This window comes from Homo sapiens, chromosome X (genome assembly GCF_000001405.40).
Source record: "Homo sapiens chromosome X, GRCh38.p14 Primary Assembly".
Classification (NCBI taxonomy): Eukaryota; Metazoa; Chordata; class Mammalia; order Primates; family Hominidae; genus Homo; species Homo sapiens.
In genome coordinates this window covers 109,395,829-109,422,813 of record NC_000023.11, presented here as the reverse complement: position 1 = coordinate 109,422,813, position 26,985 = coordinate 109,395,829, and the positions used below count along the sequence as shown (strand labels likewise).

At 39.1% G+C, this 26,985-nt stretch overlaps 1 protein-coding gene across 1 annotated transcript in view; it reads left to right on the top strand.

Moving 5' to 3' along the window:
* Positions 1-26,985, top strand: part of GUCY2F (guanylate cyclase 2F, retinal) — a 109,181-nt gene that overhangs the window by 59,273 nt on the left and 22,923 nt on the right. Inside the window, exons 9-11 of the mRNA NM_001522.3 lie at positions 13,646-13,822; positions 18,330-18,486; positions 24,116-24,265. Of these exons, the coding sequence (NP_001513.2) occupies positions 13,646-13,822; positions 18,330-18,486; positions 24,116-24,265 (484 nt within the window). The remainder of the gene's footprint in view (positions 1-13,645; positions 13,823-18,329; positions 18,487-24,115; positions 24,266-26,985) is intronic.

The window sequence follows — 26,985 nt, the reverse complement described above, 5'->3', positions numbered from 1 at the left end:
GAACCAGTCTTTTTATGGACACATATTTGAATTTCTCTTGAGAATTTCTCCTAGAAATACCAGGGAGGGAATTTCTCGGTTAAAGAATAGTATACACTTAACTCTATAACACACTGTGAAATATTTTCTCATTTTACTTTCCTGCACACAAGTTATGAGAATTCCCTTTGGTCTACATCATTGCCAATATTTGATGTTGTCAGTTAATTTAATTTTAGTCATTCTAGTGACTTGATGAGGTTATCTCATAGTGTTTTTTATTTTTAATTCTGCTAAAAAGACATAAAATTTACCACCTTAAAGTGTACAGTTAAGTAGTGTTAAGTATATTCACATTGTTGTACAACATATCTCTGGAACTTTTTCACCTTGAAAAACTGAATTTCTGTACCCATTAAACAACTCTCCATTTCCTTCTTCTTGAAGTTCCTGGTAAACACCATTCTATTTTCTTTTTCTATGAATTTTCACTACTTCGTATATCCTATATAAGTAGAATCATACAGTATTTGTCATTTTGTGACTCACTCATTTAACTTAGCATAATGTTTCATTGTGTTTATAAAATATGTTTTCTATTCAGGTATAATCAACATAAAATAAAATGTACACATGCTAGATGTTCTGTTCAGTGAATTTTGACAATTGCATGTATCTATGTAACCATTCTCCAAAAAAGTTACTAATATGTTCATTACACCGGAAAGTTCATTTGTCCTCCTTTTCAGTAATTTATCCTATCCCATAGGCAATCACTATTCTGATATCTATTAAAATAAATTAGTATTTTTTTCTGTTCTTTGATTTTATGTAAATGGAATGATACAGTGTCTTGTGCCTGTCTTCTTTCTGTCAGCACAATGCTTTTTAAGATTAACATATGATTTTGCATATACCTGTAGGTCACTTTTTAAATTGCCTAGTTGTATTTCATTTTATGACTATATCACAATTTATCATTCTCCTGTTGAACATTTGGCTTGATTCTAATTTTTTAGAAGAGTTTTTTTTGACAATTTTATGAATAAGGCAACTATAAACATTTTTCATTATGGTAAAAAAAATCACATAACATAAAATTTACCATCTTAACCATTTTTAAGTATACAGTTCAGTAGTGTTAAGCATATTCACATTGTTGTGAAACATATCTCCAGAACTTTTTCATCTTGCAAATCTTAAGCTTTTTCATCTTGCAAATCTGATCTTGAAAATCTCCCCTTTTCTATTTCCAACAGCCCCTGGTAACTACCACTCTTTCTGTTCCTATGAATTTGACTACTTTAGATATCTCATGTAAGTGTAATCATATAGTATTTGTGTTTTTGTGACTGTCTTATTTCACTTGGCATAATGTCCTCAAGGTTCATTCATGTTGTAGCATGTGACAGGATTTCCTTCCTTTTTAAGGCTGAGTAATAGTCCATTGTATGTTATTCATTTGTTCATTGTTAAATGTTTGGGTTACATCCACCTCTTGGCTAACGTGAATAGTGCTGCTAGGAACATGGGTGTAGAAATACCGCTTTGAGACTGTGCTATCACTTCTTTTGTACATATATCTGGAAGTAAGATTGCTGGCTAATAAGATGGCTCTATTTTTAATATTTTTATAAAGTTTCATACTGTTTTCCATAGCAGTTGCACCATTTTACAATCCCACCAACAGTGCACAAGTGTTCCAATTTCTCCACATGTTTGCCAACACTTATTTTCTGTAGCCATCATAATGGGGTTAAGGTGATATCTCCTAGAGGTTTTGATTTTCATTTCTCTATTAATTGGTGGTGTTGGCCATCTTTTCATAGAAAGCTATAAAGATTTTTATATATGTCTTTTGTGAACATATATTTTCACTTCTCTTGAGTAGATACATAAGAATAAAACTGGGTCATAGAGTAGTTGTATGTGTAACTTTATGTGAAACATCCAAACTGTTCTCCAAATCAGTTTTGACATTTTACATTTCCATCGGAAATATTCCAGTTGCTCTAAATTCTTAACATTTGTCTTTTTGATATTTGCCTTTCTAGTGTGTGTGAAATGGTATCTTATACTTTAATTTGCATTTTCTTGATGACTAAAGTTTTTGAGCACCCTTTTAATGTGTTTACAATTCACTTGTATATCTTCTTGTGTGAAGAGCCTGTTCAAGTTTTTGCCCAGTCTTAAACATTGGGACTTTTTTGTATTTTTGTTTTTAAATTACAGACATTCTTTATATATCCTGAATAGCCTTTGCTGAACTATTTATTTTGTAATTATTTTTCTCAATCTGTGGCTTGTCTATGATGTCTTCTGTTGAGCAACATTTTTAGTTTCAAGGAAGTCCAATTGTCCAATTTATCATTTTATTTTCCCCTCCAACTCCCCTCCCTTTCCCTCTCCTTCTCCCTTTTTCCTCCCCCTTTGTCCCTCCTACTTTCTTTCTCTTTGTCTTTCTCTCTCTCTCTCTTTCTTTTTCTTTCTTTCTTTCTCTTTCTCTCTTCTTTTCTTTCTTCTTTCTTTCTCTTTTTCTCTCTCTCTCTCTTTCCCCCTCCCTCCATCCCTCCCCCTCTCTCTTTCTTTTTCTTCTTCTTCTTTTTTTTTTTTTGGTGGCCTAAGAAATCCTTGTCTAGTCCAAGATTCTGGGTTTAGGCCTATGATCCATTTTGAATTACTTTTTGTGTAGAGACTGAGACAATGATCAAGGTTCATTTTTTGCATATAGATACCCAGGGTTCCAGTAACAATTGTTTTTAAAAAGCTTTCCATTGAATTAATGTTGTAACTTGGTGAAAAATTAACTGACCATATATGTGTGCATATATTTTTGGAGTCTCTGTTCTGTTTCCTTCACTCATTAGTGTAACCATAATGCCAATATCACACTCCGTTGGTTATCATAACTATAGAGTACCTCCTAAAGTCAAGTGGTGTAAGCCTCTAACTTTTTTTTTCAAGATTGTTTTGGACATTGTAAATTCTTTAAATTTAAAATAAATTTTGAAATCAGCCTGTCTATTACTTCCACAAGGTTTTCTGTAATTTTTGATGGGGATTGCAATGAATTTATAGAGACATTTAGGTAAAATGGACATCTTAATAATACTGAGTCTTTCAGTCCATTAATGTGGTATATGTCACCATTTATTTAAGTTTTCTTTATTTTTTCTTATCAAAGTTTTGATACTATTATACATGTTGAGTAGAAATGGTAAGAGCAGACATCTTTGCCTTGTTCCTGGCCTTAGAGGAAAAGGAATCAATGTTTTATTTTTAGGTTTGATGTTACCTGAAAGTTTTTCACATTTCTGAGTTTCTATGATTCTTTTAATCATAAAGAGGTTTTATATTTATATTGCTACCTATTGCAATTATTCAGTGGTTTTGCTCTTTTATTCTGTTAACATGGTGAATTACATAGTTTTTGAAAGAAATATTAAGCACATCCTAATATCCCCGGGATGAATTCCACTTGGTCACGATATATTATCATTTTAATATATTGCTAGACGATATTTGCTAATCTTTTAAAAGAATTTTGCATCTATGTTTTTAAGAAGAATTAGTCTATACTTTTAATGTTTGTCAGGGTTATGTTTGGCTTCATAAAACAAGTTTGGAAGTCTTTGCCTTTTTCTGAGAGTTTCTGTAAGACTGGTATTATTTATTAAAATTTTTAATAAATTTCATCAATAAAATCATTTGGTCCTTGGATTTTCTTTGTGGGGATGTTTTTGAAAACAAATTCAATTTCTTTGCTAAATATAGGGCTCTTAGGATTATTATTTCATATTGTGCCAAGTTTAATCAGTTGTGTTTTTCAAGAAATGTCAAATTCGTTATTGACTTTATTAGCATAAAGTTGTTTAAAAATTCCTTTATCATCTTACTGATATCCGTATGATCTGTAGTGATACCATATCTTTCATTCTAGATATTAATAATTTTTTCTTTTTCTTTTTGTCTTGATCAGTCTTCTTAGAGATTTATTAAATTTATTACTTTGTTTTAAAGAACAATGTTTTGATTTTGTTAATTTTCTCCACATTTTGGCTATTTTCTATTTTTATCTGCTCTTATTGTTATTATTTCCTTCTTTCTGCTTATTTTTGGTTTATTCATTCTTATTTTTTGAACATTCTTTCTTTTTAATTTAAGCGACATATTTACATTTAAGCTCTGCTGTAGCTGCATCCTGCAAAATTTTATGTTATATTTTCATTGACCTTTCAGCTTGAAGTAATTATGATTTCATTATTCTTTTTTGACCCATGTATTATTTTGAAATATATGCTTAATTACCAGATATTTGTGGCCCTTCTAGATATCATAATTAATAGATTTCTCATTTAATTCTGTTGTGGTCAAAGAATATTATCTGCAAATTTAATCTTGAAATTTATCAAAAACTTTGGCCATAGCCAAGCATGTGGTCTGTGTTACTGAACATTCCACATACATTTGAAATTAATGCATATTGTACAGTTGTTTGGTATAGAGTCCTATCAATATCAATTAGGTCAAGATGGTTGATAGTGTGATTCAGATCTTCTATATCCTTACTGCATTTTTGTCAATATGCTTTATCAATTACCGTAAAATTTTCCTATTTTCTAATTCTGTGAGTGTTTTCTTCAGGTGCATTGAAGTTCTGTTATTAAGTACGTACATATTGGTGTGCTAGTAAATGTTTAACAACAGGCTTTCTGAAAAAGATCCCTAATTTGGAGCATTTTCTGATTTCTGTGCTGTGAGTACCTCCATTGTAACTAATCTGGGGCTACCCATGTGATGTCACTGAACACAGAGATGGTAAGAAATATGCAAAATATTCTTCTTATGATCCAGCACATCAAATATTCTTCTTATGATCCAGCACATCTTTGCACATATACATTTTATTATTATGTCTTATTTTATCATTATGAAATGTCCCTCTTTATGTCTGATAATACTTTTTTCTTGATTTCTATTTTGTCCAATAATAACATAGCCAATTTAGCTAATTAGTTTTTTGCATGATTTACTTTTTCTGTACTTTTTCTTTCCATGCATTTGTGTCTTTGGATTAATGTTCATCTTATTTAGGGAGCAGGCATTTGTGTCTTGCTTTTTATCTCCCCATTCTGCAATCTGTCTTCTAATTGAAATGTTTAGGCTACTTACATTTAAGGCACTTATTGATACAGTTAGATTTCTCATCATCTATTTTGCTATATGTTCTCTATTTGACTCATCTATGTCTCTGTTTGTTCCTTTGTTTCCCTTTTCTTGCTTTCCTTTGGGATAAAAGTGTTTTTCATATATTCCGTTTTGTTTCCTATATTGGCATTTTAGCGATACATTTTTGCACGTTTTAGTGACTGTCCTAGGAATTGCTTAAATGCATCTTGAATTTATCATAGTCTTCTTAGAATTAATATTCCACTTCTTTACTTAAAACATAGGAAATTTGTAACAGCAGTGTCCCATTTACTAGCCTACTATTCTTTGCCCTATTGTTATCATATGTATACCTACATTTATTGTGAACCATATAATATAGTGTTAAAATTTGTTTTAAACATTCATATGCATTTCATACAAATTAAGAGAATGAAATAAAAATATATTCTGTTATATTTATCAACATATTTACTATTTCTGATAACTTTAATTATCTCCTAATAGAGCCAAGTTACCATTTAGCATCTTTTCTCTTCAACCTGAAGATCCTCCCCTTAGGCATTACTTGTATTGCAGGCCTGCTGATGATGAATTTTCTCAGTTTTCGTCTATTTGATAATGTCTTTGATTTTGAATGATATTTTTGCTTGGTACAGAATTATGAGTTATCTGTGTTTATTTTCTTTTGGCATATTAAAGATTTCGTTTCATTGGTTTTTTTTTTTTTTTGCATTTCTTTGTTTCTGATGAGAAGTCAGCCATTATTCATTTCTTTGTATGTAGTGTGTACTGTTTTTCTCTGACTACCTTCAAAAGTTTATTTTCATATTTCAGGGTTTTGACTGTTAAATGTCTAGGTATTGCTTTCTTTGTATTTAATCTCCTTGGTGGGTCACTGAACTTCTGAGATCTTTAAGTTCATCTTTGGATTGTAGGAGTTTGAATATGATATATGCAGGGCATTTTCTTTGTGTTTATTCTGTTTGAAGTTCAATGAGCTCCTTAGAATTTTAAGTTGATGTCTTTTACTAAATTCACAAAGGTTTTGACCACTATTTCTAAAAAAAATTGTTTTGCTGCATTTTCTTTATATCCTTCTAGAACTCAAGTTACCTATGTGTTAGTCTGTTTGATATTGTCCCCACTTATCCTTTTTCCCTCTGTTTTTCAGACTGGGTATTTTTTATTGATCTCTCCTCAAGTTCATTACTCTTATGTCATTTCCTAAGCCCACCTAGCAAATTTTTTTACTTCAGTTATTATATTTTCCAGCTATATACTTTCCAATTGGTTCATATTTATAGTTTCTTTTTCTCTGCCATGTTCTATACCCATATATTCATTTTGCATATATTTTCCTTTAAATCTTCAAATATATTTATAAAATCTGTGTTAAAGGCCTTTTCTGCTAATTGCAAGATTTGTGTCATTTTGGGATGAATTTCTATTGACCTTTTTTTTTCCTGGAGTATGGGTCACATTTTTTTCTATTTCTTTGTACATCTAAGGCTTTTTGGTTCATTACTGAATATTATCAATAATACATTTTAGAAACTCTGGATCCTGTGGTGTTGCTCTAAAGAACTATTTTTTTGTTCTTGTAGGTAAACCCAAATTTTACTCATTTTAGTTGTCTTTCAAATATAGTTCTACCTCCATTTCTGCTTTCGGTCACTCTTCACTGTCTTCAAATGGTTTTTAGAATATTTGATTCATATTTTATAGGTTTCTTTGTCTACTGAGTATTTAAAGACAGTGTTCAATTGTCTTCTGACTTTGTTATGCATTCCCAAGTATCTAATGTTTTTTATTTTATGCTAGATATTTTATGTAAATAAATGGTAGAAGCTCCAGGTCATAATTTCTACCAGCAAGGACTTTTCTCTTTTCATTTGTTAGGTGGATTGGGTAAGGAACTAATCACATTAATCGAATCAAAGATTGAGCAGGATTGAAGCTGTGTTGCAGTTTTAGTTAGACTCAGTCCACCACTAATTCTACTGTTTCTCAGGCATATCCTTCCAAAAGTCTACAAGTCTCTCTCCTCCACTTTGAAAGATTGGGATATTCAGACTGTACTTCATAACCTTTTTCCTCTACTCTCAATCCATGCTGCTTCCAAATTTGGCAAATTTCTTGAGGAAGACACCAACCGAATGTTTGTTGCAGGCCCTATTTCTTCAGTGAGACTTTGTCTTCTAAATATTTGGAAACTACAGAAGATCTCAAACAATTTTACAGAAGCTTTCTAGTCTCCTCTATAGCCCCCAGACTCAGAAAATATGCTGTGGGGAGAAAACTAGCTCACATTTAGGCCTCCTGAAATTTATTAATTGTGATACCAGTCTTCTACAATTGCCAAAAGCATTACCAGTTTTTGCATTTTCCCAGCAAATTCTTTCTGTTAGGCTAAGCCCAATCTTTGGCTTGTGCTGGAAATCAGCAGATGTCCTCAGGGAAGAAAATGGCTGACAACAGCCTGGTTATCTTAGAAGGGCTCTTGCATCTTTGAGTTTTAGATTCTTTTTTTGCACCTACATGTCCCCAGTGGTTTTTTTTTTAATATATTTTTTCAATTTTTCTAGCTGTTAAAAGCTGTAGCATCAGGAATGGTGGTCTGCCATAACCTACTACACCCTACTTGGTATTCAATGTCCCTATAATCATTTTTAATATAAATAAATAGCTACTTAAAATGACCTATTAGATTCTGTATAATCTGGCTCTTCCCTGTCTCTTCAGTCTTATATCACCATCATATTTCCCTCAACCGCTCTGCTTAAGGCACACTGGCTTTTACTTAGTGTTTGGGTTGTGATATGCTCCCAGCGCAAAGCCTTTACCTGTTCTATTACAACCCCTAAAATACTTTTCCTTCCCTTCTTTGCATGGTTTAATCCACTCATCTTTTAACTCCCAGATCAATTCTTACTTCCCATGAAGCCTGTCCCAACTTCTCTGATTGGTCAAAGCCCCAATTATACATACTCACATTATGTAACTCTCCTCCATAGGACTTGTCAGAGTCGCAAATTTTGTATCATTGTGTAATCATCTGGTTAAAACAAGAGGTCAGAAACCATGTAACATTTTGTTCATCATTTGTCCCCGGTCTGTCTCTCAGGGACTGGCAAATAATAGGTACTAAAAAGTTTTTTAAATGAATAAAATATTGCTAGTGGGAAATATAGGATCAGAAGTCTTTCACTAGTACCTGGTTAATGTGTTCTATATGACCATTGACTTCTGGGTGTTAGATAGTGGGTAGGTTGATACGGGGATAGGAGGTCTTGAACAATAGCTCTTTACAACAAAATAAAAATAAAAAGAAATGCAGGAAACAGACATGAATCACCAATTAACTCATGGAGGTACAACATTTTCTTGTCGAGGCCAGGCACAGTGTCTCGTGCCTGTAATCCCAGCACTTTGGGAGGCCGAGGTGGGCGGCTCACCTGAGGTCAGGAGTTCAAGACCAGCCTGGCCAACATGGTGAAACCCTGTCTCTACTAAAAATACAAAAATTAGTTGGGCATGGTGGCACGCATCAGTAATCCCAGCTATTTGGGAGGAGAAATAGCTATTTGGGAGGAGATTCGCACGAGAATCACTTGAACTGGGAGGTGGTTGTGGCAGTGAGCTGAGATTGCGCCACTGCACTCCAGCCTAGGCGACAGAGCGAGAGCGAGACTCTGCCTCAAAAAAAAAAAAGAAGAAAGAAAATTTTCTTGTCAAAATAGACAGCAATTGCTGATATAGCTGCGGGTGAGCACTTATGTGGAGAATGACATTTTCATAAAGGTATACATACCCACCTCTAGGATGGGATTTCAGCTGCTGTGGAAGAGGGACACGTAGAGATTAATTCTGGTGTTATGACATCCTAGGAACTTTTTTCAAGTGGGTGAAGGAGTCCTTCAGATAACTTAGGTCAGTATTTGACTTAGGAACAGATGTCTCTGGTGGCTGTATGCTTAAAGGTGTCGTGTTACACTTTGGGAGTCTAAGGCGAGTGGATCACTTGAGTTTAGGAGTTCGAGACCAGCCTGGCCAACATGGTGAAACCCTGTCTCTACCAAAAATATGAAAAATTAGCTGAGTGTAGTGGCATGCACCTGTAATCCCAGCTACTCAGGAGGCTGAGGCAGGAGAATCGCTTGAACCTGGGAGGCGGAGGTTGCAGTGAGCCGAGATTGCGCCACTGCACTCCAACCTAGGTGACAGAGTCAGACTCCATCTCAGAAAAAAAAAAAGGTGTCTTGTCAAATATGAAGCTAACAAAATCCTTGAGAGACAGGACACATTCAACTCTTAAACATTTGATGGTAGCCAGCCAGATAGGTATTATGGAAGAGGTAAAGTATATGTCTACCCTGTAAATGCTCATCTTGCTAAAGCTGATGTTGCAAACTTTCTCTGCATCCTGGGGTTGTCCAGAATCTTGGTAGGACATGACTGCATGTAGGCATCTACCTGCTCTTTATATGGGATCTTCTCTGTTGGTTACAGCTGAGGATGGATGCCTATAAAGATCTATCAAAGATCTAGACAGAATTATTCCCATGCTAGTACCATTAGTGTAATGCTAGATGTTTTAACAAATAGACCTTCAAATATGTAATGTCTCAAACACAGCAGAAGTTTAATTTTCACCCAAATAACAGCACAAGGTGGGTATTCCTGTACTGTTGGCAGGTGACTCTCTTCCAATATCATGACTCAGGGACCCAGGCTATAACCATCTCATGGCTCTGCTATGTCTTAGGGCCGTGTCATCATCTGCATTCACCCATAGAAGTGGGAAAATAATATGGAAGAGGGTATAAAAGCCTTAGCCTAGAAATGGCACGTCTCACTTCCTCTCCCATTTTATTGCCTAGAGGAAGGGGCATATATCGGTTCCTCTTCTATTCCATTGCTTGGAATTCAGTCATATGGCTACACTTAGGTCCAAGAAAGACTGGAAAATATGGATTAGCTCTCTGCCCAAGAAGAAGAGAAAATACATTTGTGTTGAACAGCTAGTAGCATTGAATATGACAACTTTTTACTTTTTCTTCCAACAGAGTTCCAGAGCCCAGTAGTTTTGGCTGCTTGCTTCATAAGAAAATAGAACTTTAGGAGCAATGCCTATTTTGCTGTTTGTGGGCTGAGTTTCTGTCCACCTTAACTGGTTTAGGTTGCAGTGGATGAAGAGAATTGTCATGGGTGCCAGGCCCTTATGCTTAGAAGGCAACCTTGGTGGTCAATAGCTGACATTCCCACCAGGGATAATTTAACCTTTGCTTGGATCATATTCTAAGAAGCAAGCTCATATTCTAAGTCCTATAGTGTAATTCATCTCAATAAATGGCCCACCATCCGTTCCGTGTTCAAAATAGAATAATTCTTTATTTCATTCTTTCCTCCCCTCCCCACACAAGAAGTCACGTGATTTATAGCTCCAAAATACATCTCAGATCTGCCTTTTGCTGTTCATGTACACTGTTACCATTCTAAGCCTATCTCTCTATCTATTTAGATAGATATAGATATACATATCTGTGTAAACATGTTGTAAGTTTCTATAATTAATAAATTTTAATGGTGAAATTCACCAGACACTTTTCTTCATCTTACCTGACCTCTCTGGTATTTATCACACTTTCCTGAAATTCTTTCTGGCAGGCATTTTTCTCACTTTCCTGAAACTAATCCTGTGGTTTTAACAATATGGTTTTAAATAGGCTTTTCTCTACTTCCTGGCCTTTCTTCTAAGTCTTATTATTGCAGGCTGTTCTTCCTTTTCCCGCTCTTCAAATGTTGATGTTTCCTTTTTCTCTTTTTCTTTATACTTTCCTTGGGTAATCTCATTTGTTCCCACTGATTTTACCTAAAATTTAATTGCTTACAATTCCCACATGTATTTATACTGGTCAGAACTCATTCCTTAGTTTCAAACCCTGAATATACAACTGTCTTTAAAATAGTTCCCCCTTGATGTTCTGTAGGTACCTCATTCTCAATACGTCTCCAACTGAATTTATCAGCCTTTCCACCCCCAAATGTGCTTTTCCATCTGTCTTAGGTCAGATTCCCCAAAATCTGAGCCTGAGATGGAAATTCTTGTTCAAATTATTTATGGAGAAAATGCTTTCAGGTAAAGAGTGAGGGAATTAGGATAGGACAGGGTAAAAGTTAAGCAAGTATTTGATTTCAGCTGGAAACTAGCAACAGTATGATCTTATGGGGAAATGCTGGAGCACAAGTTATACCATGAATCTTACCTTGAGGCTAGGAAGCTGGACTTTTGTACTGTCCTCAGTGAGTAAATTACTGCCTGAGGCCTGTGGGTGGGACCTAACCTCTCAGGTAAGGTGGCTCACCATTAATTTGGGCTCTAGGACAGTTTTTTTTTTTTTTTTTTTGAAAATGGAGTAACTATGAGTTATCAGTCAACATTCACAGCAGTTGGGGGATGCATGGTTAAAGGCATATGGGTGGGGCACCAGCATATCCACTATTACCTCATCCCTGAATTCCCTATATTAATATGTAGCACCACTGTCTACCCAGGTATCCAAGTAGAAATCTGGGAGTGATCATGGAGTCTTTTTTCCTCTCTCTCATCCCTCATTTAAGTAGTAATAATAATAAATGATAATTATTGAGTGCCCACAATATAAATTTCAAATTCCATAGCATGGTTCATAAAGTCTCATGGGATATGGCTCCTGTCCATTTCTCCAGTCTGGTATTTAATATTCTCTTCCTTACACTCCACTGTGGCCACCCTAAACCTGTTGTGGTTTTCTCCACATAATGTGCTATCACTCTCAACCCCTCTCATCATGTCATCATCACCTGATCAACTCTTAATTGTCCTTTGAGAGAGTCCACATATTACCTCCTTAGGGAAGCCTTCTCTGACTACCCTAGGGTGAATTAGATACTTAACATTTGAGCTCTTACAGCATCCCATGCCCCCATTTTTCAGAACACATTTCACAACAAAATACAATTGTTGGATTACTTGCTTATCACCCTTCATTGAATGTGAGCTTTTTCGGGACAGTGATTTTATCTTGTTTGTCTCTTTTTCTCTAGCATGCATTCCAGTGTCTTGGATGTTGTGAACATGCACTAAATGCTTCTCACATTAGTGAAATAAAATGAATGAATGCAAAGAGAAAGTGTGGCCAAAATTCTAAATGTTTCTTCTGAAAAAAATTGTATAAGCTCTGGCCTGATGTTTATATAGGGAAGCTATTTTAATAGATGCTAGGTAGATGAGTATTCATAGAAAGACAACCTATTCTACATTTTACGGTATCATCTCTCTTTAGTCCTCTTGAGCCACTGAGCTCCATTCCAGAAAGTCCCAAAGGAATCAGAGAGAAATCTGCAGCTTGAGTTTCACTTATAATTATGCTAAAAGAGATCCCTCTCTGAAATTTTCCCCTTTGGCCATTGAATTTGTTTTCTACTGCTGCTGTAACAAATTAGTGCAAACTTAGTGGCGTAAAACATCACTAATTTATTATCCCACAGTTCTGTAGATCAGCAGTCAATGCCGACTCAGCTGGGTGTTTTGCTTGGCATCTCAAAACTCTGAAGTCAAGGTGTCAGTTGCACTGTGCTCTTATCTGGAGACCTGTGGCAGGGGGCAGGGCTGGGGTGAGGGGGAACCATTTCTAGGTTTCTTCAGGTTGCCTGCAGAATTCAGTTCAGTGGGGTCATAGGATCAATGTATTAGTCCGTTATCATGCTGCTAATAAAGACATACCTGAGACTGGGTAATTTATAAAGGAAAGAAGTTTAATGAACTCACAGTTCCACATGGCTGGAGAGGGCTCACAATCATAGGGGAGGGTGAAGGGGAAGCAAGACATGTTTTACGTGGTGGCAGGCAAGAGGACATGTGCAGGGGAACTCCCCTTTATAAAACCATCAGATCTCGTGAAACTTATTCACTATCATGAGAACAGCATGGGAAAGACCTGCCCCCATGATTCAATTACCTCCTAGTGGGTCCCTCTCACAATATGTGGGAATCATGGGAATTCAAGATGAGATTTGGGTGGGGACACAGCAAAACTATATTAATTGAGGTCCCCGCTTTCTTGCTGGGTGTCAGCTGAGGGTGGTTACCAGCTTCTAGAGGCTGCCCACATTCTTTGGCTTATAGCCTCCTTCCCCCATCTTCAAAGCCAACAATGGTCTGTTGAGTCCTCATATTTTGAATCTCTCTGATTTATCTTCTGCACTCTTCTTTTGTTTTTATGGGATCACGTGATTAGTTAGATTAGGCTCACCCTGATAATCTCCTTTTTGTTGTATAACAAAACACAATCACAGGAGTAACACTAGGGGTTGGAGATCATCATGGGAGTCAAAATTCTGTCAACCACACAACCAATCATAAGAAGGGTCAAGAGAAGGTTATGTGCCCTCAACTGTGGTCCCCAGTTGAGACAGGACAGCTGTGACTCTCATTTCTGTCTCTCATTTCCAGATGAAGGACTTGCGTCATGAGAATATTAACCCTTTATTGGGTTTCTTCTATGATTCGGGGATGTTTGCCATTGTGACAGAATTCTGTTCCCGAGGGAGCCTAGAAGACATACTGACAAATCAAGATGTGAAACTTGACTGGATGTTTAAATCATCACTCTTGCTGGATCTCATAAAGGTTAATGGGAAGACTGAGGAAATCTTGGATTTTCTCTGTAGATTAGAACTTTAATGTTTTGGGATATTTTATTTTCCTCAGATTGTTGTGATCATTTCACTCCTTACTTTCTGTATTAGTCCATTTTCATGCTGCTGATAAAGACATACCTGAGACTGGGAAGAAAGAGATGTTTAATTGGACTTACAGTTCCACATGGCTGGGGAGGCTTCAGAATCATGGCAGGAGGTGAAAGGCACTTCTTATATGGTGGTGGCAAGAGAAAATGAGGAAGAAGCAAAAGTGGAAACCCCTGCCAAACCCATCAGATCTGATGAGACTTATTCACTATCACGAGAATAGCACAGAAAAGACCAGCCCTCACGATTCAATTACCTCCCCCGGGTCCCTCCCACTACACGTGGGAATTCTGGGAGATACAATTTGAGTTGAGATTTGGGTGGGGACACAGCCAAACCACATCATTCCACCCCTGGCCCCTCCAAGTCTCATGTCCTCACATTTCAAAACCAATCATGCCTTCCCAATAGTCCCACAAAGTCTTAACTCATTTCAGCATTAACCCAAAAGTCCACAGTCCAAAGTCTCATCTGAGACAAGGCAAATCCCTTCTGCCTATGAGCCTGCAAAATCAAAAGCAAGCTAGTTGCTTCCTAGTTACAATGGGGGTAAAGGTATTGGGTAAATACAGCTGTTCTAAATGGGAAAAATTGGCCAATACCAAGGGGTTACAGGGCCCATGCAAGTCCGAAATCCAGTGGGGCAGTCAAATTTTAAAGCTCCAAAATGATCTCCTTTGACTCCAGGTCTCACATCCAGGTCACGCTGATGCAAGAAGTGGGTTCACATGGTCTTGGGCAGCTCTGCCCCTGTGACTTTGCAGGGTACAGCCTCCCTTCTGGCTGCTTTCATGGGCTGGCATTGAGTGTGTGTGGCTTTTCCAGGTGCACAGTGCAAGCTGTCGGTGGATCTGGAGAATGGTGGCCCTCTTCTCACAGCTCCACTAGGCAGTGCCCCAGTAGGGATTCTGTGTGGGGGCTCTGACCCCACATTTCCCTTCCTCAGTGCCCTAGCAGAGGTTCTCCATGAGGGTCCTGCTCCTGCAGCAAACTTTTGCCTGGGCATCCAGGCATTCCCATACATCTTCTGAAATCTAGGCAGAGGTTCCCAAACCTCAGTTCCTGACTTCTGTGCACCTGCAGGCTCAACACCACATGGAAGCTGCCAAGGCTTGGGGCTTCCGCCCTCTGAAGCCACAGCCCAAGCTTTATGTTGGCCCCTTTCAGCCACAGTTGGAGCAGCTGGGACACAGGGAACCAAGTCCCTAGGCTGCACACAGCATGGGGACCCTGGGCCCAGCCCATGAAACCACGTTTTCCTCCTGGGCCTCCAGGCCTGTGATGGGAGGGGCTGCCATGAAGGTCTCTGATGTGGCCTGGGGACATGTTCCCCATGGTCTTGTGGATTAACATTAGGCTCCTTGCTACTCATGCAGACTTCTGCAGCCAGCTTGAATTTCTCCTAAAAAAATAGGTTTTGCTTTTCTACTGCATTGTCAGGCTGCAAATTTTCTAAACTGTTATGCTCTGTTTCCCTTTTAAAACAGAATGCTTTTAACAGCACCCAAGTCACCTTTTGAATGCTTTGCTGCTTAGAAATGTCTTCTGCCAGATACCCTAAATCATCTCTCTCAAGTTCAAAGTTCCACAAATCTCTAGGGCAGGGGCAAAATGCCACCAGTGTCTTTGCTAAAACATAACAAGAGTCACCTTTGCTCCAGTTCCCAGCAAGTTACTCATCTCCATCTGAGACACCTCAGCCTGGACCTTATTGTTCATCTCACTATGAGCATTTTTGTCAAAGCCATTCAACAAGTCTCTAGGAGAGTCCAAACTTTCCCACATTTTCCTGTCTTCTTCTGAGACCTCCAAACTGTTCCAACCTCTGGCTGTTACCTAGTTCCAAAATCACTTCCACATTTTCGAGTATCTTTTCAGCAATGCCCCACTCGTAGTACCAACATACTACATTAGTCCATTTTCATGCTGCTGATAAAGACATACCCAAGACTGGGAATAAAAAAGAGGTTTAATTGGACTTATAGTTTCACATGGCTGTGGAGGCCTCAGATTCATGATGGGAGGCAAAAGGCACTTCTTACATGGTAGCGGGAAGAGAAGATGAGGAAGCAGCAAAAGTGGAAATCTTTGATGAACTCATCAGATCTCGTGAGACTTATTCACTATCATGAGAATAGCATGGAAAAGACCAGCCCCCATGATTCAATTACATCCCCCTGGGTCCCTCCCACAACACATGGGGATTCTGGAAGATACCATTCAAGTTGAGATGTGGGTGGGATCCCAGCCAAACCATATCACTTTCCTTCCCAAGTTTTTACCCCACCACCCTTCTCACAGTCCTTTTGTCCATATCTGTTATATGATACAGATATGGAAAAGGTTTGCCTGTCCTCTCCCCAGTTTGAGGTCCAGATTTTTCTTTACTTCCTGTTGCCATTAAGCACTCTTCTGCCTTAAGCGATCCTTTCTTTCATCCAATTTCTCTGCTTTGTGGATGTGGGAAAGTGCTCATTCCCAGATTATTTGGTGCTACTTAGCCCTACCTCCTAGTTTTCACCCTTCTAAATGGTGGCTCAGTCTAGAACTAGGTGAGAGGTCTTTACATACAATGGCTGTGTATGTGGAACTCAGTGCCACTGGAAAACCAAAAGACCAGTGGATCTATCAGGCATCACCTTTATTCTCTGAGCCAAAGATTCCTGACAGCCAAGGTAGGGTTCATAGATGAGTCCCATGGAGGAGCTTCTGGGGATCCCATGAACGCCATGGAATGATATGCAAATTGTGTATATGTGCATTTTTTACAGGGCTGATCTGCATACTCAATGACTTTTTGGGCTTCCTGCATACTGATCATAGTCTTGACCTTTTTCTGCTAGCCTAATCCTTTTTCAGGGGCCTTGAAAGGGAAAGACATTCTCTCATGCCAATTCCCTTTAAGATAGGTGTGATTAGCCTCCTTTTACAGAGGCTCAGGGAGGTTAAATGAGGTACTCGTTGTTATAGAGTGTCTGGCACATATAGTAGGTACTCAATAAATATTTCTCAGCCAACTATTAGGTGGCGGAGCTGATAATAAAATCCAAATCTCCTGATTCTTATTCTAGTACTTTTTCTGCTCACACTGTAAGCTAAGCCCAGTGAGTTAAGGGAGGAGCCTCTATATGACAATCCCCTCAAGGCCATGATGAATGAAAAGCAACCGTTAGACAACATGGGGGGAATCTTGCCCACTGTAGACTCTACTCAGAAGTACTGAAGAGTGCAGACTATCCAAGAGCACAGGGTGAAAAGAATTCCAAGTACAAAGGGGTGTCACACTGCAAAAGAGCCAGATACTTAAAAAGACTTTTAGCAAACAAAGTTCTGAAATGACTGTACTAGAATATAAATGTATGTATATACAGAATGAATAAATCCATCTGAACGAGAGTCCTGGTCACATTTGAATACCATATGAAGGCTGCCAAGCAAGTGCAGAGATCGGCACTAGACAGCTTTCTTCTTTCTGGTTGCCTATTTTTAATTACAAAAATAATATATTAAGTGTAAAACGCAAATGACATATATTGGAAAAATACTCGCATTTACTCAACCCTCTTTCTTCATACTCCCCCTCAAAGTTAACTACTGCTAACAATTTGGCAACCCACCTTGTAATTAATTTCTTGTGTATTTATATGCATTACAGATGACTTTTTTGTTTGTTAAATATACATGCTGTCACATAGTTCTGTAATTACTATATTTCACTTACTTTATGGATTAGAGTTGTTTCTATGTCAGCTACATACAGATCTATCTTATTCTTTTTAAGTGCTGCAGAATATTCCCTAGTGTGAATGTACCACACTCTAGCCAGTCCCTTATTGATATTTAGTGCATTTCCAATTATATACTATTATAAAAGCAAAGCTACAACAAGCATTCTTATCTTTGTCTCTTTGTGTATACATGCAAGCATTTCTCTGGAGGAGAGGTAGAACCCCTGGATCATAGGGTACACATAGTTTAAATTTTGATAGCTATTGCCAAATTGCCCATGCACAAGTTTGTCCCAGTTTCCATTCTTGCCAATAATGGGTGAGAGTGGGTTAGAACTTTTGGGGAAAATCAAAATCTCCAAATTCCTGGTAATTATATGTATATGGATCCATTCTGTATCTGAAATGTTAATAAATCTAGTAACACATAATTCTCTGCACACACAAGATAACATTCTTTATCAAAGCATAAAATTTTAGAGCTACGAGGGATCTGAAAACTGACTCAGGTTGTCAAAGGTTTACTTTGCCTGCATAGAAGAGAAAAAAGCTGAGTTCTGGATCATAATAGCTCATGCCATTAACAATCTCAGAAATTGGTGTTAAAAGCACAAAATAGTTAAATGAGTTGCTAAATAAATCCTGTTGTGTCATCTACAGGGCATGAAGTACTTACACCACAGAGAGTTTGTTCATGGGAGGCTAAAGTCTCGAAACTGTGTGGTAGATGGGCGTTTTGTACTAAAAGTGACAGATTATGGCTTTAACGACATCTTAGAAATGCTGAGACTCTCTGAAGAGGAATCTTCTATGGAAGGTAAGCAATGAATTGTACCCTTCTGATGCACACGAGGTAACTCCAAAGTTCAAATGAAAATATGCACTGAATTAAAGCCTCAGGCTGATTTCAACTCTCCACTTTTGTTGAAAATCCAGCCTCATTTCCAAGCCAAGGGACTTGAATGAAGTAGGCCTGCTGTAACCTCGGCCCAGCCAAGCTTTCTGAACAAAGCCAGTGTAATAATGTTCAGTTCCTGCTGTGGCAGGATTAGGATGTATTGTTTGGAGACCCCAGCAGTCCCTGGAAAAACTTGCTGAGCACTAGGCACACAGTAGGTGCTCAATAAATACTTGTCAAGTTGAATGGAGAGTAATTTGGAAGCTGGACCCCCACAACGTACATTTTAGAATGGGACGTCACTAGAGCATACCAGCACAGTCTCTGTCAGAGAGGAAGAAGCGAGGAGTGATCTCTCAGCAAATAAATGCTCTGTGGTTTATGTGGGAAGGCTTCAGGCAGAACTGTGGCCTTCTAGCAAATAAGTAGCCATGCCTGTGTCAAAGTCAAATAAAAATATAGGGACAAATCTTTAAATGAAACATTTTATTTGGGAAAACAGAATTTCATTTTGTGGCATGCACATAGACCAGGGTGGTCCTTGGTGTGTCCAAAGAACACAGAAAAGTTGGGGGTTTTATTGGAAAGAGAAATGTTATATATGGTTTTTAAAGAAAACTCATTGGCACTACCAAAGTTTTGGGGAGCAGGAAAGCTCCGATTGGTAAGTGATGGCTGTAGGTAAAACTCGTCTTAGAGTCATGACAGTTTCTTTCATCAGCTACTAGGTAAAACTGATATTAAGATTATAGAAGGTCATTTCGGTATCTGGCTTGCAAGATTATCCCTGGGCAGGCACTTGTGCCCCAAGTGCTTTTCTTTTTCTCCCATGGTCTCTGGACTCCAATTTAATTGGATATAATAAGATAACTCCAGTTCATATCATCAATTTTCACACCAACAACGTCCATTTTGTGTTTTTGTCTTCTGTCTAGTGCACCAGTGGTAGCACTAAACAATGCCAGTAGGAGTTATAACAGATCAAAGAAATAGGAGAAATCTGAGATGGGGGTGGGTGGGTGAGAACCAGGGAAGAAGGAGCAGATAGATGAGGGGGAGAAAGAGGAAAAAGAAAGAGAACAAATATGATGAAATACGTATAGGAAATGTGGGCATTAAATGTTTTAACCAATATTGCAAGCATAAAGAAGAGAGATAGTGACACAAAAGACAGAAAAGCAAACAGCCCAAAAAAAGATAGACAGAGACAGAGAGATGCAAAACTACATCATATATCCATATTCTTAAAATTACCTTTGGCGTAAGTTTTAAAACTGCTGACTTTACTACATAAAAGAAAAGAAGAATGAAAGACACACAGAGAGAGAGAGACACATGCATAGACAGAGAGTCCAGTCATTGGTGGTATCTGGACTTTATAAGACTTTGCTCTTTATAAGACTTGTGGGTTATTAAATTTAGGGAGTCATCTAGTCCAATTCCCTCCTTTTACAGATGAGACAACTGAAGCTCATGATTTGCTCCAAACCTGCAGTGACTTAGCAGCAGTTCTAGGACTTCAAATTCAGGTTTTCTGAATTCTAGCCCCTATCCTGTAGAGAGGGCAAGTACTTAGTATTTTGTCAAAATCAATTCTCTATAAAACACAATACCTTGGGAGGCTGAGGTGGGCAGATCACGAGGTCAGGAGTTCGAGACCAACCTGGCCAGCATGGTGAAACCCCATCTCTACTAAAAATACAAAAATTAGCTGGGCGTGGTGGCGCGCTTCTATAATCCCAGCTACTCAGGAGGCTAAGGCAGGAGAATCGCTTGAGTCTGGGAGGCGGAGGTTGCAGTGAGCCGAGACTGCGCCACTGCACTCCAGCCTGGGTGACAGAACGAGACTCTGTCTCAAAAAAAAAAAAAACAAAACGCCTAGCTTCTCAGAGTTCCATTTAATTTCCAGATGGGCAACTTTGAAACTTAAGAAAATCTAGTCTTAGGGTGGGTAAAGGATAGCTGCAGGGCTCTCTTTTCTGGTTTTGTGCTTTTGGGTGGACTATGTCTGTCTGTCTCCTCTGTCTCTGTCTCTGTCTCTCCCTCTTATCATATTACTCCATTCTCCAAATTGCAGTGGCAGTATGGATGGTCAGTCCATTCTTCACACACTGCAGCCAGAAGGAGCTTTCTAAACTGCAAATCTGATCATGTTACAGCTGTGCCTAAATCTATCGAATGGCTTCCCATTGCTCTAAGGATAAAGATCAAATTCCTTTACATGGCTTACGAGCTGAGCCCTGCATGGCCTGGAACTTGCTGACCTCTCATGCTAACCACTACCCCCCTGCTTTATGCTCTGGCCATGCTGAACTGCTTCTAGTTGTTTATTTACATTACACCAGGCTGTCTCTTACTACTAAATCTCCACACAAGCTGTGTCTTCTGCCTGGGACACTCTTCTCTTCCCACTCTTTCATATACTCATCTGGGTCTGGCTAAATTCTATTTCTTCAGGGTTCAACTTAAGTACCACTGCCTCAAGAGGCTTTCCATGACCCCTATGCTGGGCTAGGTTGCCCTCTTTATAATCCTTCAGGGCCCTGAACTTTGTTGTGATACCATAGTTCATTAGCATTACTCATTCAATTAACCTTGTCTCCCCCCACCCAAACTACAAGCTCTGTGGGGGCAGGAAACAGGTTTGCCTTTCTCAGTGCCTTTCACAGTTCCTGACAGAATATTTGTTGAATCAACAAAAGAACAAAATAAAATGAAATAAAGGAACTTGTCTCCCTACCTTAGATATGAGGCTAAATGAATCTCATAATTGAAAGGCCATTGGATGTCATCTGACCCAACTTCCATTTTATAGATAGGGAAGCCAAGGTTCAGAAAGGTAGCTACTTGGTGACCAAGCTAAGATTTTGAACCCGGGTCTCTAGACTTCCAGTTCTGTGTTCTTTTATACTATACCACAGTAGCTCTCCAAAGTCAATTCTATCACCCTAGCAAAGCTCAGAGTTAATAGTGGCTCCAGCAGATAAAAAACAAACCAAAGTAATTTCTCTAGTTTTCCCGAGAGTTCAACTCTAATGGTAGTTAGTGGCTCTTACTTGGTTCTGGAGTGGAGATGAGGAAATGGGGGCGGATTGTAAATGTATTCATTACTGTCCACTCTCGATTATATAAGTATAGTGCAGAAAAGCCTCATTATAGCCATTAACAACATACATGTAAGTGCTCTTTGGAAATACTATTTTGTAATGATTGTATTTAATCACCCAGCTTTTACCAGAGAGTTTTGCCCTCTTTTTCCATCTTGTGCTTTTAAATGTGCAGGGAGAAAGGATGCCAAAAAGAAGCAGCCACATGCCATTTTTCCTGCTCTCAAATATTCATCCTTGCACTCCTCTCCAAAACCATGGTGCCTAAAATCCCGCAACTATAAATGTATTCCTTTGACATTCAATCATTCAAGTATCATTCATTGTTTTCCGTTTGATTTGTAAATATAAATCTTCCTAGGCAGGGAGACATAGGGGCAAAATCACTATAGTGAGTGTTTTGGAGACTTTCATGGGTGTGAGTGAGTGGTGGATGGTGGGTGGAAGCTCAGAGGGGTCTGGTTGGGGGACAAAGCCTGGGGACACTTAAAGAGCAAAGAGAGAAGATGGGTACATGATTGGTGGTGAAACTGGAATTTCTTATTTCACCATTTTGATCAGGATTGGCTGAAAATAAGAATTTCCATGGTGGATTTCTCTTTCCTGGGTTTTGCTAACAAACCAAAATAATCTCTCACCTTTCACCCTTCTTCCTATTTCATAGGACTTTGTTTCTTGGACTCTCTTCCCAATACCCAAAATTTAACAAGATGAAAAGTTAGCCATTACTTTCTCCCTGATACCCTCACTCTTAGCAGACATTTGTCTCCAACCTCACTATCTGGATGTCACCTTGTTGTTTACTCCAACTCCCTCTCATTCTCAAGGCACAGGGAGCCTATCCTTAGCCCTGTCACTTCCTTCTCCATTGTAGCCTTCCAGTGTATCTGGTTGACTGTGTTGCTGCTACTACCCCCACCCCCATTTAGGCCCCTCTCACCTCACTACCTGCTCTTACTGCAATAACTTCCTAGCTGATCTCCCTGATTCCAGCCTCTCTCCTTCAATCCAGCTTGTGCAGGTTGCCAGATTAATCTTCCCAAACAGGGCTTTCATCAAATCCCTCTCCAGCTCCAGCACCCCTACTGCCTTTTGTATTCACTCCAAATGCCTTCATTTGGCTCTCAGGGCCTCTCACCTTCTGCCCCCATTCTTCCAGACACCCGCCCTCCCCCACTTCATCAACCCCACTTCTCATTTCTCATTATTCCTTAACAGAGCCCTTCTCTTCAGTCAAGCTAATCTGCTTACCACCACCCGGCATCCCCCCACCCGCAATTTGCTCCTTTCTGCCTCTTGTTCTTTTGCACATGCTGTTCTTTCTAGGGAGAAAAAAGCCCTTACCTTCTCAGCTCCAGAAAGTTGCATCCTTGACCTTCCTAACAAGCACATTTAAAATTTAACTTTTCCAGGAAGTCTTCCTGGATTAATTTGATCAGCTCAGTTTTTTTTTTAGTTTGAACCTGATGAAATTGCCAATATCTAACTGTTTTTGATTCACAGAAATGGTAACTTTATATAATTCAATCTAAAACACTCTTCTTCCAGCTTTTGAGTACTGTATTTCTATTGTTAAATTATATTTCTTTATACATTGCTTACAGTGCCCCCCACCCAAGAAAAATTTCTGACATTCTCACTGCCATAAACTCTGAATGCAGAAATAATGTTTTGTCCCTGACGGGGCCTGAAATGCAGCAGAGCACACAATGGGTGTTTAACTTTGACCTTTAATGGATTCATTTCCCTTTACTATGTAGTGGCCCTCATCATTCCCTCTCTTTTATTGCAGTTAGGGGTGCATATGTCTGTGTTTCCGACTGGTCTGTGAACTCCTCAAGTTTGATTCATCTCTAGCACCACCTCTGTGCCTAGCACAGGGCATGGTACATAGTAGACCATCAATAAATATTTGCAGAACTGAGTTGAAGGAATTGTTGCACCTTTTTGCACTGCAAGGAATAGGAAGGCTGGGGTAACTCTAATCCTTTTAGAGGAGACCTGGAGAAAGCAACTTGTGAATCTCTTAGCCCCAGCACAATCAAATTACCAGACACATATAGATCTCAGCAAACAGCAAATCCATGGCAACCAGTGTGGTAGCACACTTGCCTTTCCCTGGAAACCTGCCAACTGCTACTTGCAGGCTCAAGAAAGCAAGCACCAGAGAATTTCTATACTTTGAGCTTCTGTGCCCTTTCCCACATCGCTGCTGTGTCTGCCTGCGTGGTCCTGGGGTGGAGAGAGTAGTATGTTTTCTCTGTTCATAATTCCTTAGAAGAATAGATTCAGACCCTGGGGGATGGGGGGCACTAGCATGGCAGTCTGTCTAATAAAAATATAAGGCAGTCAATAAAACAGTACCCTCTGAGCCCTTGAGGGCATTGCAGATATTGTCAGTTAATCCTCCCTGCATTCATTACACAATGCTTTCTTTTTAGAGCTGCTGTGGACGGCCCCTGAACTGTTGAGAGCTCCAAGAGGCAGCAGGTTAGGTTCTTTTGCAGGAGATGTCTATAGCTTTGCCATCATCATGCAAGAAGTGATGGTCCGGGGTACCCCATTCTGCATGATGGATCTGCCAGCTCAAGGTAAGCGGGAGGTGAGAAAAGGGCCCCAGGGGTCCACCATGACCGAGATCATCAGACCAACTCAGGCTGTCATGATTTTCCAGAAGAGTGTTAGTGCTAACAGCCTGATAGTCTGCAAGCAGCTCAAGTTATGTACAGGTGGGACTTATAGCCAGACAGCTTTAGGCATCTGGAAGAAATTTCGCCACCCAAGAAGCTGGCCTTTTTTCAGACTGTGATGTAAAACAAGGGCCTACAGGACTGATGCCAGTCCCTTTTGTTTTTCTTTTTAATTTCACAGTCCCCTCTACTCCTTTGAGACACTCCCTGCCAAGTATTTTAGTATCCCTCATGATGCTTCTGGATGTCAAGGCCTTACCACTGTTTCCCTGTGACATGCTCCAGGCTTCCATCCAAATCTCCCACCAAGACACTTGGCTATTAGGCAATATCCATCAATAATGACAAAATCAGTAGACAAAACTTTGAGGGGAAACAGGATATCTGTATATTCTCAAAGTATGAACCCACAAGATACTTACAAATTGCAAATGGAAAAAACAGAGTTTACAAGTAGAGGATCCTGTAGACACCACCTTAAACAAGCAATCAAGATTACCAATAATAAGCTATTACCAGTAATACAGCACACCCATGTTATGTACCCATTGACATGATACACTAAGAAGGGCATAATGTCACCTCGGTGTTATTCTTGACAAAAAAAAAAAAATACATAACCTCAATCTAATAATGAGAAAACTTTAGACAAACCCCAGCTGACATTCTACAAAATAACTGGCTAGGACTAATCCAAAGCATCTAAGTCATGAAAGACAGGAAAAGAATGATGAACTATCGCAGACTGAAAGAGACAAAGACACAACAATTACATGCAATATGGGATCTTGAATTGGATTGTGGAACAGAAAAAGGACATTAAGGGAAAACTGATGAAATTCAAATAAGAACCCTAGTAATATTATTGTACAAATGTTAATTTCCTTTGTACTATTTTTCTGTAAGTTATTAACAATAGGGGAAGCTGAGTGAAGGTGTACAGGCAATTGTACTATTTTTACAACTTTTCTGGAAGTTTAATTTTTTTTCAAAATAAAAACTTTTAAAAATGAAAAAGAAAGAAAAACTAGAACCACTTAGCTAGGCTTTGTCCCACTCAGGGTTCCACATTATTCCTCTACTTAAAGCCTTCCAACTGTTCCTCATCACTTTTTAAGTGAAGGTGAGACTCCTCCCATGACATACAAGGCCCTTTACAATCTGGCCCCTAGCTACCTCTCCAGGCTTATCTTCTGTCACTCTCTATATCCCAGCTAAACCACATGACTGGCCGGGCCCTGAAAGTATCATGGTCTCTCCCATCTCTGTGCCTTTTCACATACTAGGAGGTGGAATTTTTCCACCTCCTCCCAATCTTGCCTCATCCAACTCATGTCACCTTCTCTGGGAAACCTTCTCTGACTTCTTTAGTGTGGGTCAGCTGCCTTTTCTATACTCACAAGTGCCTATCTCAGCTAGAGCACTTATATTGTTTGCCACTGTTTATTGCAATTGGACTGTGAGATCCTTAAGGGCATGAATCATGCTGTGCCTAAGCAGAGAGGTGGCCCATTCAACTTGATGGTGTTCTGAGAAAGGGACAAAGACTTCATCTGCCAGAGAATGGATGAGGCAGTCAAGTTTCAGGGAGTACATGCTCATGGAATCTGTTGTACTGAGAGCACGATGCTGTAATGGAGAAATCATTACTGGTACAGCCTGACCTGGGTTAAAGGAACAGAATGTGTGATGTCACAAGGAGCTGAGAAGTCAGAGGCAACAACTGGAATTCTTTTATGGAGGCAAGGGGCTCGTATTAGGGATAAAGCAGCACTGTTGGAGTGTTATAGCCAATTCAGGGGTGGGAAGGTCACACTGGTGGGGCAAGCAAAGCTTGGTTCCTGATGTGGCAGTTAGAATTGGAGGTGGTGGGGAGGGGATTAAAGATGAGAAATGAGCCTGAAGAGATAGGGACAAGAGCCTGGATTTTACTCTGTGGGTGATGGGGAGTCATAAAAGGCTTTTGAGCAAGAAAGTGATACGGCCAGATCTGTGTTTTAGGAAAGGTTTGGAGAAGGGTAGGCTGGAAGCAGAGAGATCAGTTTGAGGCCCCAGTGTGGGTTGCTGGGGATATTGAGAGATAATGATTTTTTTTTTTTTCCTGCTGCCAGGGAGTTTTCTTTTTGTAAAAAGGTCAGTCTGACTGCTCTAGACCTTTTGTCACTAATGGCTGTTGGGTCTGAATAGGGAGTCTAAGAATTCCCACGTGAAGTCTGAGACATTTGGAAGCAGGACAGTGTAACAGGTTGAGATTGTCTGGGTTCAAATTTGAACTCTGTCACTTACTAGCCATGTGACCTCGGGTAAGTTACTTACTCTCTTCATGTCTCAGTTTCCCTAGCTATAAAATTAAAATAAGAGTGCCTACCTCACTTGTTTGTATGTGAGAATCCAGTGAAATAATGCATGCAAAGCGTTCAGCACATTACTGGTATATAGTAAATATTCCACTGGAAGTGGAGTTCATGGACCGTCAACCAGGAGGATCTTGATGAGGCCTTGAACTGTTTACTGCAGTTCTTAATTCCCTTTGCCTAGACACCAGGTAGAGACCTGGACCTGGGCTGGGCCTGGGCTTGTAAGAAGAGTTAAGTGGGTCTATTGTGGGGATTGGAAGGCTT